This window comes from Homo sapiens, chromosome 15 (assembly GCF_000001405.40).
Source record: "Homo sapiens chromosome 15, GRCh38.p14 Primary Assembly".
Classification (NCBI taxonomy): Eukaryota; Metazoa; Chordata; class Mammalia; order Primates; family Hominidae; genus Homo; species Homo sapiens.
In genome coordinates, this window is record NC_000015.10 from 58539532 (window position 1) to 58552081 (window position 12550).

At 49.6% G+C, this 12550-nt stretch overlaps 1 protein-coding gene across 1 annotated transcript in view, besides 1 other annotated feature; it reads left to right on the forward strand.

Moving 5' to 3' along the window:
- The window catches only part of LIPC (lipase C, hepatic type), a 137854-nt gene that overhangs the window by 107541 nt on the left and 17763 nt on the right, over positions 1 to 12550 (forward strand). Inside the window, exons 3-6 of the mRNA NM_000236.3 lie at positions 2254 to 2436; positions 3003 to 3120; positions 6211 to 6444; positions 8799 to 9041. Of these exons, the coding sequence (NP_000227.2) occupies positions 2254 to 2436; positions 3003 to 3120; positions 6211 to 6444; positions 8799 to 9041 (778 nt within the window). The remainder of the gene's footprint in view (positions 1 to 2253; positions 2437 to 3002; positions 3121 to 6210; positions 6445 to 8798; positions 9042 to 12550) is intronic.
- Positions 8979 to 9617: an enhancer, noted in NCBI's record as "H3K27ac-H3K4me1 hESC enhancer chr15:58840709-58841347 (GRCh37/hg19 assembly coordinates)". NCBI's record gives its function as "activates a minimal SCP1, AML or CMV promoter by ChIP-STARR-seq in primed H9 embryonic stem cells {active_cell/tissue: H9 hESC(primed)}" and the evidence as "EXISTENCE:reporter gene assay evidence [ECO:0000049][PMID:30033119]".

A 12550-nucleotide genomic window follows, 5' to 3' on the forward strand; every position in this document is an offset into this window, starting at 1 on the left:
CCATGATTTCAAGCATAGTTCACAATTTGAACCCTCCAGAGATTTTGGTGTCTACTTCATGACTTAGAAACCTTTCCCTGCCATCTAGTTGAAAAGTACTCTTGAAACCCCCATCTATCCTATCCTGGAGAGGAAAATGAACCCTTCCATCACCTGCCTCCCCTCACCTCTCCCTGCCTCCCACATGACGTTCCAGCAACATCTAACTGCTTGTATTAATAGCTTCCTCCACACCCCATGCACCTGCCTTCTCTCTTCTTGGTCTTGGCTTAGTCTGTGCCCTCTGCCTAGAGTGTTCTTTCTCCTCCTCTTTTCCTGATTAACTCCCACTTTTCCTGTAAGACACAGTCCCAAACAGGTCCTCCTGCAAGCCATTGCTGCCTTCATCCCAGCACTCCCACAGGGCATTCAGTGTCACCGGGAGTTCCCGTGTGGCCCTGAGCACTCTCCACCACTGCTCTGCAGCTCGGCTTTCTAATTGTCTGTGTTTCTCTGCTCTGCTAGGCCGTAAGCTTCTCCCTGGGAAGGATTCTGTCCTATTCTCATCTAATAGACTACTGTGGGCCACTATCCATTATGTAATCAGTGCTCCAAAATGTTTGTTAACTGAATTAAAGATCAAATGAATGAGTCTTGTTTATAAATGCAACATGAGGACCACAGGAGCCTCTTACCAGGATGCTTTTACCAAAATGCACTCTTCATTATCAAAATTCTGTCCAACCTAGTATATGTCTCCTCCTCCTATTACTGCTAATATTAATAACAACAACAACTGCAGTAACGAACATTTGTTGAGTCCTTACTATGTTCCAGACACTGCTCTAAGCGCTTTAGATCTATTAACGTATTTCTCCTTCATAACAATCCTGGAAGGAGAGCATTATTAACCCCATTTTCCAGGTGAGAAAACTGAAGCACAGAGAAAAATAACTTGCCCAAGGTTACTCAGCTAGAAACTAGGAGAGCCTAGATTTGAACCCAAGATGCTCCATGCACATAGAAGGCACTTGGTAAATATCTAGTAAAGGAATGCATCTTACCCTGGAATGGCATGACAGGCCCTCAGGGGAGCTCTCCAGCTTCACCCGCTATTGTCAAGCCTTCACCTCCTATTGTCTAGCCTTCACCTCACCAACTTTCCTCCTCTCCCCTGACATACCACACTGCCCTTTCATGATTCTGTGACTCTGCACGCACTGTTCCTTCTGCCTGGGATGCCCTAGACCTCACCACTACCACATTCACCTGCCCACCTGTATTCTTTTTGTTTCTTTGTTTTGTTTTGTTGCGATAGGGTCTCACTCTATCGCCCAGGCTGGAGGGCAGTGTGATCTCAGCTCACTGCAGACTCGACCTCCTAGGCTCAAGCCATCCTCCCACCTCAGACTCTGGAGTAGCTGGGGCTAGAGGCATGCACCATCACACCTGGCTAACTTTTGTATTTTTTGTGGAGATGGGGTTTCACCATGTTCCCCAGGCTGGTCTTAAACTCCTAGGCTCAAGCAATCCCCCTGCCTTGGCCTCCCAAAGTGCTAGGAGTACAAGCATGAGCCACCGCGCCCAGCCCCCACCCATATTCGTCTTACTGGACTCCTATTGATCCTTTAAGGCCCAGCACAAGTGTCTTTGCTCTGTAAATCCATTAGGAGTGCCCTGCAAATTGGTTCTCAAACAAGGCACACACACAGAACAATTCTCTGTAAACATTTTTTACCTCCTACTATGTCAGGCTCACAGTGCCCATCCCGCTAAGTCCAGCATAACGCAGTCTGCAGGGCAGAGCCAGTGCTATGGGTTTAGGGGTGAGGTGGGGCAGCTGCACGCAGAAGGAGGCGTACAAATGGCCCTAAGGGACAGGTCAGCTTCCAGGACCTGATTTACACATATTTCTCCACTGTTTTAAGGTTTAGAAAGTCCCTAAGAGGAAAAACATTAAGATAATTGTTCTCGGGAGGGGGCGGGGGGGAACGTTTGGAAAAATCTGGAGACATTTTTGGTTTTCAAAACCTGGGGCAGTGGGTGGGTGTTGCTGGCATCTAGTTGGTGAAGGCCAGGAATGCTGCTAAACATCGTACAATGCCCAAGACAGCCCCCACAACAAGGAATTCTCTGGCCCAAAATGTCAACTGTGCATGGCTGAGAAACGTCATAGCAAGCCCTTCCTCCAGCATTATCCAGGAGCTGGAGAAGGAAGAAGGGTGAGCGGGGAGAAAGGAAACTAGTGCGACCCTCCCTCTGTCCCCTCCTCAGGTGGACGGCGTGCTAGAAAACTGGATCTGGCAGATGGTGGCCGCGCTGAAGTCTCAGCCGGCCCAGCCAGTGAACGTGGGGCTGGTGGACTGGATCACCCTGGCCCACGACCACTACACCATCGCCGTCCGCAACACCCGCCTTGTGGGCAAGGAGGTCGCGGCTCTTCTCCGGTGGCTGGAGGTACCGACCTGCCCCATCCTTCCTTCACCTCCCTTCCCTCCTTTCCCTTCCTCTGAGAGTGAATGAATTAAGCTGGTCTCCAACAGCAGCCCAGGCAGGAGAAGCACTAATGCTCAGCTCACAGGAATGAGAAGGCACAGGACTGACACCAGACCCCAGGGCTCTCTCAGACGCCTCCCTTGAACCCCTGTTTCACAGAACCACCTTCTCCCCTCTCCTCATCCACTATTCCTCTTATGCTCACCCCCTTAGACATGCTAAGGGATACAAACACACCCTGTAAGCTATCAAGCCCCCACACAAATGAGTGGGATCACTTCTGTAGGGCATTAGTGTCCAGGGGAAGACAGGCAGGCAGGAGGCTGCAGCTACAAGGCGAGGTCACAGGTACCTGAGTCCCAGGAGAGTCAGCCAGTTGAGAGATTAGTTTCAGTTTGGAGTGTGAATAAGGCACCTCATTTCTGAGCAGGCACGAAGAACAGGGTGGGCGCCACAACACACTGGACCGCAAAAGGCTTTCATCCAGGCAGCTCTTCTCCTGCCCCCATCCCGCTGCTGTCTTCCAGGAATCTGTGCAACTCTCTCGAAGCCATGTTCACCTAATTGGGTACAGCCTGGGTGCACACGTGTCAGGATTTGCCGGCAGTTCCATCGGTGGAACGCACAAGATTGGGAGAATCACAGGTAACCATGCCTAATAACTCACACACTGATCTCCACTCCATAGGGGCATCCAACAAGGACCTGCTTTTCCAACAGGCTCATCATTAAAACACCCCAACACTTATTGTGAGGGATCAGCGCTCATGAGAGGACTTGTGACATTCTTTCAAACATGACCAATGTCATGGATTGCTGTTCCAGAGAATTCAGAGCAAATTATAGCCTCAATTCCTATTGCCTGCCCTCAAACGAATACCTCATGTTGGTGTGCCAAATGGGACTAAAAGATGGACTTTTCTAGCAAGAAAGAGTCTTATTTTTTAATCTATAATTTACAAAGTCCAATTTGGGCGAGTTAAGGAGTGAAGAATCACAGCCTTAATTTGCTGTAATTCATCAGCCACGTTAGTGCCTCCGTTTCCACATTTGTGAAACGTGTATGTTTTAGTCTGGGACCCATTTGGGTTGAGGGAGGGAGCTCTGCATCCAAAACTTCACCCCAAACTCCATACACACTCAGAAATGGCCCAAGATATCCAGGAAGGTCTGCACATGTGCGAGGAAGGCCTTCCTCCCAGGCTTCCGTGACACCAACCCCACCCTTCACACTGCCAGGCATTGGATCCAAAAACACACAGCTGGTGAGATTGTTCCCCAGTCCAAGTCTGAGGCCCACTGATACCACAGGTATAAAACCCGGGAGGCACAGGCAAGGCCTTTCTCGGTGTGGAAGCCCCAGAGTGCCCCAGCCTCTCCTCCTGCTGATCCCTTCCCATAGCTCTAGGCTTCAACGACACAAGGTTTTTCTCTACTTCACAAACACACCATGGCCTCTTGTGCCTCTGGGCCTTTGCATGCACTGTTTGCTTTGCCCACCACTCAGCCACTCAAACTCCTCCTCATCCTTCAAGACCCAGCAGGCTCAAACAATATTTCACAGGCCAAAACAAAGAGCATTTTACATGAATAACAAAGTTGTTGCGAATTTATATTTTATCAAGTGAGGACATTTTTTTTTCTTTTGAGACGGAGTTTCGCTCTTGTTGCCCAGGCTGGTGTGCAATGGCATGATGTTAACTCACCGCAACCTCTGCCTCCCGGGTTCAAGCGATTCTCCTGCCTTAGCCTCCCGAGTAGCTAAGCCACACCCAGCTAATTTTTTTGTATTTTTAGTAGATACGGGGTTTCACCATATTGGTCAGGCTGGTCTCGAACTCCCAACCTCAGGTGATCCACCATCTCGGCCTCCCAAAGTGCTGGGATTACAGACGTGAGCCACCACGGCCGGCCATGAGGACATTTTTACAAACAACTACTATCTGCTATTACCATTCCTTTATAAAAGAATTTCTTTTAACTTGAGAAAGAATGGGGATAATGGCAGACGTTTCAACAGAATACACTTGTGATTATGACAGCTCATTTCCTCATGCTTTTTTGTTCATCTTGCTGGTCACTGGGGAAGCCTGGTCACAGACCGGCGTGTGGCCCCCATGGATTTAACCCACAATAGCCTGGGGATGAGCAGCCCTCCCACTGAAGAAGCAGGGCCAGAGGTCAGAGTCCACACCCAGCGAGGCAGCCTCAGGCCCAAGGCCCAGAACCCTCTCCATCCAACTGGTGCTGTGGGTCACATTAGGCGTATCAGCTGGGCCCACCCACCTCAGAGACAGCAGGAAAGCTCAACACCCTCTTGCCGTCTTGTCATCAGCCTGATAAAGAAAGGAACAGAAATCATATCAGGACATTTTTCTTTTTCTCTTTCTTTTTTTTTTTTTTTTTTGAGACAGAGTCTCATTCTGTTGCCCAGGCTACAGGGCAGTGGCATGATCTTGGCTCACTGCAGCCTCCACCTCCCTGGTTCAAGTGATTCTCCTGCCTCAGCTTCCCAAGTAGCTGGGACTACAGGTGTCCACCACCACGCCCGGCTAATTTTTGTATTTTTAGTAGAAACGGGGTTTTGTCATGTTGCCCAGGTTGGTCTCGAACTCCTGACCTCAGGTGATCTGCCAGACTCAGCCTCCCAAAGTGCTGGGATTACCAGGCGTGAGCCACCGCACCCGGCCAAGGACATTTTTCATTTGTCACTGTGGGTAGGGCTGGAGAACGGGTGATCTCACGGCTCACTCTCAATTCCTTCGCCCCCCAAGTAGGGAAGGAAACCAGGGCTGGGGTGGGACACCAGAGGGTCCTCCAGAGAAGGCAGAGGAAGAAAGACAGGGAAAAAAAACTTGGAGCGCATAAATACTCCCCAACCACAGTCAGCCAGGAGGTGCCACCTTACTTCATGCACAGACATCTGTCACTTGAGGCCCAGAGCTTTGAGCTCCCCTACTTGCACACAACATTTTCACATACAGTGAAATGTCCCGCGGCTGTTCTGGACGTTCTAATGAAATGACATCTTAGGAGAAAAATCAGCTTGTTTAGGGAAATTATTGACAACATACAGGCAAATAAATTTCATTCTTTGATAGGTAGGTTGGAACTACTTATAATGAGCATATTGGCTTTTTTTGTATGCAAACAGATGGTCTTGAAAGTAGCTTGAGAGGTACTCAAAACTGATTTGCTCAAGTAAATCAAGCATTCCCTCATAACCTTATTCCTTTTTTTTTTTCTTTTTGAGACAGGATCTCCCTCTGTTGCCTAGACTGGGTCACAGTGGTGCAGTCATGATTCGCTGCTACCTCAAACTCCTGGGCTCAAGCAACCCTCCTGCCACAGCCTCCTGAGTGGCTGAAACTACAGGCACAGGCCACCACATCCACATAACTTTTGTATTCTTTTTTATTTTAGAGATGGGGTTTCACTATGCTGCCCAGGCCTCCTGGCCTCAGGCATCATAACCTTGTGTCTACCACTGGAGAGTTTCCGCAAACCTCTTTCCCCGCTAGCTAATGCCCAGCCTGTGTGTCATTGTTAGCACCATGAACTACTGTGGTTTTACTGAGAAAAGGTTACGGCGAGGTTTTCTAGGGAAGGATCAGCCCTACGTGTTTCTTCTTCCTGCTAGTTCACTGATGTATAATAATATCCAAAAGCTAAAAAGCACATCTCTCTTCCCCTCTCCTTGCTCCTGCGTAACCCTTACCCCTGCTTTCCCATTAGGGCTGGATGCCGCGGGACCTTTGTTTGAGGGAAGTGCCCCCAGCAATCGTCTTTCTCCAGATGATGCCAATTTTGTGGATGCCATTCATACCTTTACCCGGGAGCACATGGGCCTGAGCGTGGGCATCAAACAGCCCATAGGACACTATGACTTCTATCCCAACGGGGGCTCCTTCCAGCCTGGCTGCCACTTCCTAGAGCTCTACAGACATATTGCCCAGCACGGCTTCAATGGTGAGAATGAAGTCATGGGCCGGGAGCACCGGCCTACATTTCAATGGGGCCTCTGGAATTCAGCGGAATCTACCAACATACGGGACTCAGGGAAGAGTTCAGCAAGGATAGGGGCCCAGGGTGTATGGTCACCAAGCCCACCCAGAGAGAAGGAATGCTGGAGTGGGCAAGGGTGCCTGTCCCCCAGCAGGCCACTCCTGGCAACAGGCCAACGCCACGCCCTGAGGATGAACAGAGGGCACCAACAGGAACCTCCACTTCTCACTCCAGCCCCATGTGCCCAGGCAAACCCTCTCCCGGGGTACCAGCTCTTCTGAGAGTTGAGTCCGGATGCCTGTGGTTATTCTTCCTTCTCTGGAAGTTTCCTCGTTCCAGGGACCGCCTCTATTCTGAACCACATGAGGATCCACTTAATAGGTTGTGGCTTCTCGATGAAGGTCTCACTCTTCATCCCACCCCATCAGTTTAATTGAGGAAATTACTCAGACTGTCCCAATGGGAAATTCAGCTTCAAATATGTCCTTGTTATGCCCTTTACCTCAGGGCAGACACGGAATGTGCTGTTATCTGGGTTGTGATCCCACTTCTCTCTCAAGTCCTAAAACCGAAATATTAACATGCACATTGATAATATGCACAGGATTAAAGAACAAAAATGTCAGCAGAAGCAGCACATTCCACGGGCATTCCAAATTTCTTGCTATTATAAAATATCACCCTGATTAAGACATGCCAATCACTCCAAGCCAAGTAGAGCCCTCCACCCCTACAAGCCACCTCACCCTGATCATCCAACACTCAGCTGAGAACACACTCTCTTGTGATGACACCATCCTCGCCTCTCCAATATCAGAGTGACCTTCACACTCCGCATCATCTCATTTTGGCTGGACTCCCAGCCTTCCACCGCCCAGGCCTGAGAGAGCCTTCTGGGAACTTGCCCTTATCATTGCTTACATCCCTCCCACCTCCCCCACTCCAACACCTCCCCTCCAGCCACCAGCAGTTCCCAGCTGACCATCCAGCCCTCATCCCAAACTTCACCCCACCCAACAAAGCTCAGTACAGACCATCAGGATGGTGTATGGGCTTTATTTTCCTGGTAAACACATTTCTGACCAATCATTACCATTTGCTCTTTTGTGCTAAACTTCAAAGTGACGGAACCAAATGTAGGTATTCAGCTTGCCCAAGCTTGGGCTGGTTTTTCTCAGTCGTCTTCACCCCTGTGTTTGAAAGGGTTCCTGGGGTAGTTCTCCCAGCCACAGCTGCACAGGGGCTCACTGGATAACTGCAGATTCACCTTCACTACCTCCTGGGTGGATGAGCTTGGGTGAGTTAGTGGATGTCTTGGAAGCTCAGTTTTCTCGTCGAAAACAGCGGCCTCAAGGAGCTGCAGTGAAGATGCAGGCAGTGGAGGAGCGGAGGGCACGCAGCATACACAGCCTCCTAGTAGGTGCCCAAGGAATGCAGCCGCTAGCGTCCAAGGACTGCAGTGACTAATCTTGGCATTTAGCCTCCAGACAACTGGGGAAATAGCTTTTGGCAAAGTCACCTGTGCTGTCCCTTTACAGCAAGTGTTTCACATATCTTGTGGTGGTTCCTCAACATCCCTTGAGAATTATTTACCACAGATTAGGTTAAAATTTGGAGAGTTAAAAAAAAAAAAAAAAGGTCAAATCCTTAGTAGATCAACCTCATAAGCTTGTTTTGGGGGTGAGGCCTGTCCAGATCTGGTTACTGGGCAATGTCCTTCCAAATCCAATTCTTGTGCTGGTTTCACAGGCCTGTTACCTAAGGGATGCAATGGCTGCTTTGGGACACAAGGTAGACATTGTCGAGAGGCCTCAGCGTTCTCCAGACCATCAGAGTGCCACGGGATTGTCTCGTGTATCTAGTTATATTAAGAGAAGAGGAGTCCCACGCAAGCCTGTTCCAGAAAACCCACCCTCCAGGCATCAGCACCTGGGCATTTTAAATTATCTCATTTGAGATAGAAATATTTCTATAATAAATTACACTAACCTGCTCTCTTAATGAATTTGATCTTTCCTTAGTGACTTGGGTGCCTATTAAAATGCCTACTGTAACACGCTGTCATAAAGGAGTGCTCTCAGGATCCCGGCAGTGCCCGGGATTTTGCCTGACACTACATGACTCAGAGGGTCTACTTCCCTTAGTTTCAGTCAGTTGTCACATCCTGCTCTTGTCAAGGGGTCTGCCTTGACAAGCCCACCCTTGCCTGTTCTGTGTGCTACTGCTAACCTCCTGTGGGATGAGAACCAAGGTGATCCTCTGAGTTGAGGCTGCTTTGGGTTAAGGGGTGATAACGTCCTTCTTGCCCTGTGTTCCAGCCATCACCCAGACCATAAAATGCTCCCACGAGCGATCGGTGCACCTTTTCATCGACTCCTTGCTGCACGCCGGCACGCAGAGCATGGCCTACCCGTGTGGTGACATGAACAGCTTCAGCCAGGGCCTGTGCCTGAGCTGCAAGAAGGGCCGCTGCAACACGCTGGGCTACCACGTCCGCCAGGAGCCGCGGAGCAAGAGCAAGAGGCTCTTCCTCGTAACGCGAGCCCAGTCCCCCTTCAAAGGTGAGTGTGGAGCTGGGGAGCCTTCAGAAGGGCAGGATGCAGTCCCCTGTCCAAAGGGCTCAGAAGTCCCCTTGGCTTCTTTCCTGGAGGTGCTTCAGCTCTGCTGTTGCGGTGTTTCTGAAACTGTGCAGGCTCCAGACAGCAACGTTGACACAGCCTTTCTCCTGTCCCAAGAGTGTGGCCACCTTGCCGCCAAGGGCTAGGAGGAGAAACCTCGACCATTTCTGAAACGATCCTTGGGTTGGCCTCTCTGTCCATTTTCATGCTCCCCTAGAATGTTAGATCTGCAAGGCCACACGCAGTTTACCTGGGCCACCCGGATCTCACTGTACAGGGACGTCAGGCATCTCCAAACACATCCTAGAACCCAGTTCTTTCATCTCTGTTCACGGCCCCCATGAAAAAACTGGATTCTAGACTGCATTTCATTTCTTCTAAGATTTGAATCAGCTGATCTGATAGGACATGATATTCACCCTGAGGCACTCCCAAGACAAGATTCAGCTTCCAGTGTTTCCCAGCCAGATTTTTAACCACAGGGCAGAAAGTGGGCCCAGCAGCTCTCTGGATTGAATGGAAGATTGTAGAAAGGGCTGTGACCACGTCTTAGGCTGAGGCCAGCAGAGAAATACTCCACTGAAACCTAAATCCTCCTGGAGGGAACAAGCCGACATCTGTTGCCATTAACATTTCTGCCTAATCCCTAAAACAGCTCGGGAGTGCTTTAGCATCTCACTGTTTCATCGCACAGCCTCTCCAGTGCTGGGAGAAGAAATCTGATGTGCTGTTTGACTATTACCAGGCAGATATTTGTATCTGGAGAATGTAAACAGGCCGTCACCACCACTTTGCTTTTAGGGAGCATTTTACACAAAACATTCGATGCAGCCATCAGCTCCTTGTGGTTCTCCCAACAGCCAGGCGAGGATGGCAGGGCTGGTTATTATCCCATTCTAAAGAGGAGCAAAGCAAAACTCGCGTGGGGTGCCCACAGCTGTGCAGCTGTAAGGAGACCTGGAACAGGGCCACCTGACTCTCAGTCGTGAGTTCAAACTCCCAGGCAGCTTATTTTTGAGGCACAGGATTTCTCTGTGTATCGGAACTTTTGCTCTCCAGTCAGGTTTCCCTCCCTTGAGTCAAGCAGGTCTAGGAATGACAGAAATTTCTTGTGGGTGCGCACAGCATCTGAAGAGTAGTTGGTGTGAGGGCAGGATCTTTCGGGCCAAAGGGTCCCTCCACTGGCTGTCCCTTAGGGCTGGAGGAGATGGCAGCACGCAGGTGAGGGAATTTGGAAGTCCTCCTGCTTCGGGGAGCTCCTCCGCTGCAGGCTGCCAATTAAAGACTCATTTGGGTGAACCAGCTCCTCTTTTAAATGGCAATGCCGCCTGGAGTGATTAAGCCTCTTAGATAATCACATTTCACTGGATCTATTTTAATCATGGAATGTTCGCATCATGAGGAGCAGTTCAACCCTGCCGTTTTTCAGATGGGGAAACCAAGGCCTAGGCAGGGAAAATTATTTGTCCAGAGACAAAAAGCTCTTGGCAGACCTGGCATTTAGACCTGGGGCCTCCAAAGAGTGAGCAGAGTGATTTTTAAAAACTCCTAAACCTGCCGCTGGTCTGTTTATGGGGATAAGAGGGGTATGGAAGAGAAGGGTGGGGGAATTGCTTTCTCCTTGAAATCACCTGGGAAGAAAAGAGGTCATTTTTCATCTTCCAGGGCTAAACTGGGCACTTCATCTGATTTGGCCCAGCCCTAGGACATCTACTGGGGACTTGGAGATTGGGAAGGGAAGCATCAAGAGAAGGAAGAAGGGGAAACAAGAGCAGTAGGCATGAACCAGGCTGAGCTTCTCCCATTTGCCAACGGCCCCACTGCCCGACCACCATACACTGCTGATGTGAACTCACAAGGATCCCTTTGTTATTAAGGAAGACCAAAGAATTGCATTAGGGCATCATTATCTCACCCACCAGCTACCAAAACCAACGTACTCATCCATCCGTATATTCTTCAAACACAGTCCTACCCTCAGGGGGCTCGGTGGAGACTAACCCACGATGAGTTCCTTGGAGACCACATTTGTGTCTCTTTATTACCGACTACTTATCTTGCTCCTGGGACATCTAGTGAGGAGGAGGTTAAGGGCAGGACTGACTGAAACTGGTCAGGAACCGAAAGCCCCAGGCTGGAGGGAGGTTCCAGTGCCGAGCTGTGGCTTGTACCACACCCTCTCCTTTTCTTTCTTACTTTTTTTTTTTTTTTTTTTTTTTTTTTTTGAGACCAAGTCTCACTCTGTCGCCCAGGCTGGAGTGCAGTGGCGTGATCTTGGCTCACTGCAACCTCCACCTGCAGGGTTCAAGTGATTCTCCTGCCTCAGCCTCCTAAGTAGCTGGGATTACCAGCGTGCACCACCACGCCCAGCTAATTTTTGTATTTTTAGTAGAGACGGGGTTTCGCCACGTTGGCCAGGCTGGTCTCGAACTCCTGACCTCAAGTGATCCACCCGCCTCTGCCTCCCAAAGTGCTGGAATTACAGGTGTGAGCTACTGTGCCCAGCCCATACCCTCTCCTTTTCTGCTCCCCCACAAATTCTCCCCAGTTCTCCTGCAGCCCCTCCAGTGAGCAAAGTCCTCACCCGCTCAACCCAGTTTCACTTGCTAGTGGAAAGTAACGTCTCTGTGGTCACATCAAGCCACCCTGGGCATGGCTGGAAAGTGCACTCATGCGAGACTCGCCTGTTTGAAGCAGCTGCTCATGGGATACTGCTATCTATATAATGTTATGTTATCCAATGTGGTAGCCACAAACCATATGTGGCTATTTAAATCCAAATCTAAGTTACTTTAAATTAAATGGAACCAAAAATTCAGTTTGTCAGTTACACAAGCCACCTTTCAAGTGCTCAAATACGTGGCTGCTGCATCAGAGAACACAGAAATAAAACATTTCCATCGCCGCGGAGAGTTCTACTGGTGATGCTGGGATGAAGATTTTAATCTAGGCCACCACAGCTACACCACTCCCTGCCCATCACAACCGTGATCATAACTGACTTGGGCCCCCAAAGCCTATTCCACCAGCCACCTCCAGCATTTTGATGAATACATATTACACTCTTAAAAGAGCAGACTTGCCCAACCCCGGCCTACAGAGAAACCACAATCCCCATTTTTCAAAAACATCTAATTGTACAATGTATTTTAGTGCAGGGTCTGGTTGGGCAAGATAAACATCGCCTCCTGATTGTAGTTTCACAAAGGATGACTAACTTGGCCTGAATTCCTCTGGCTCCCAAGATATTTCGACAAAACCATCAAAGGATCTATTTTCTACAACTGTACACCAGAACTCGGGTAAACACTGCGAGAGTACAGCAGTAGCAAGAGAGAATTGGGAAACAGTCGCCGAGTGAAACGAGGCAATTTATCGCCCACTTCCATTCTCACTCTCTCACAAGGAACCTTTACCAGTTTGGGAGCCTGTTTTTAAGGGAGGGGGAGGGA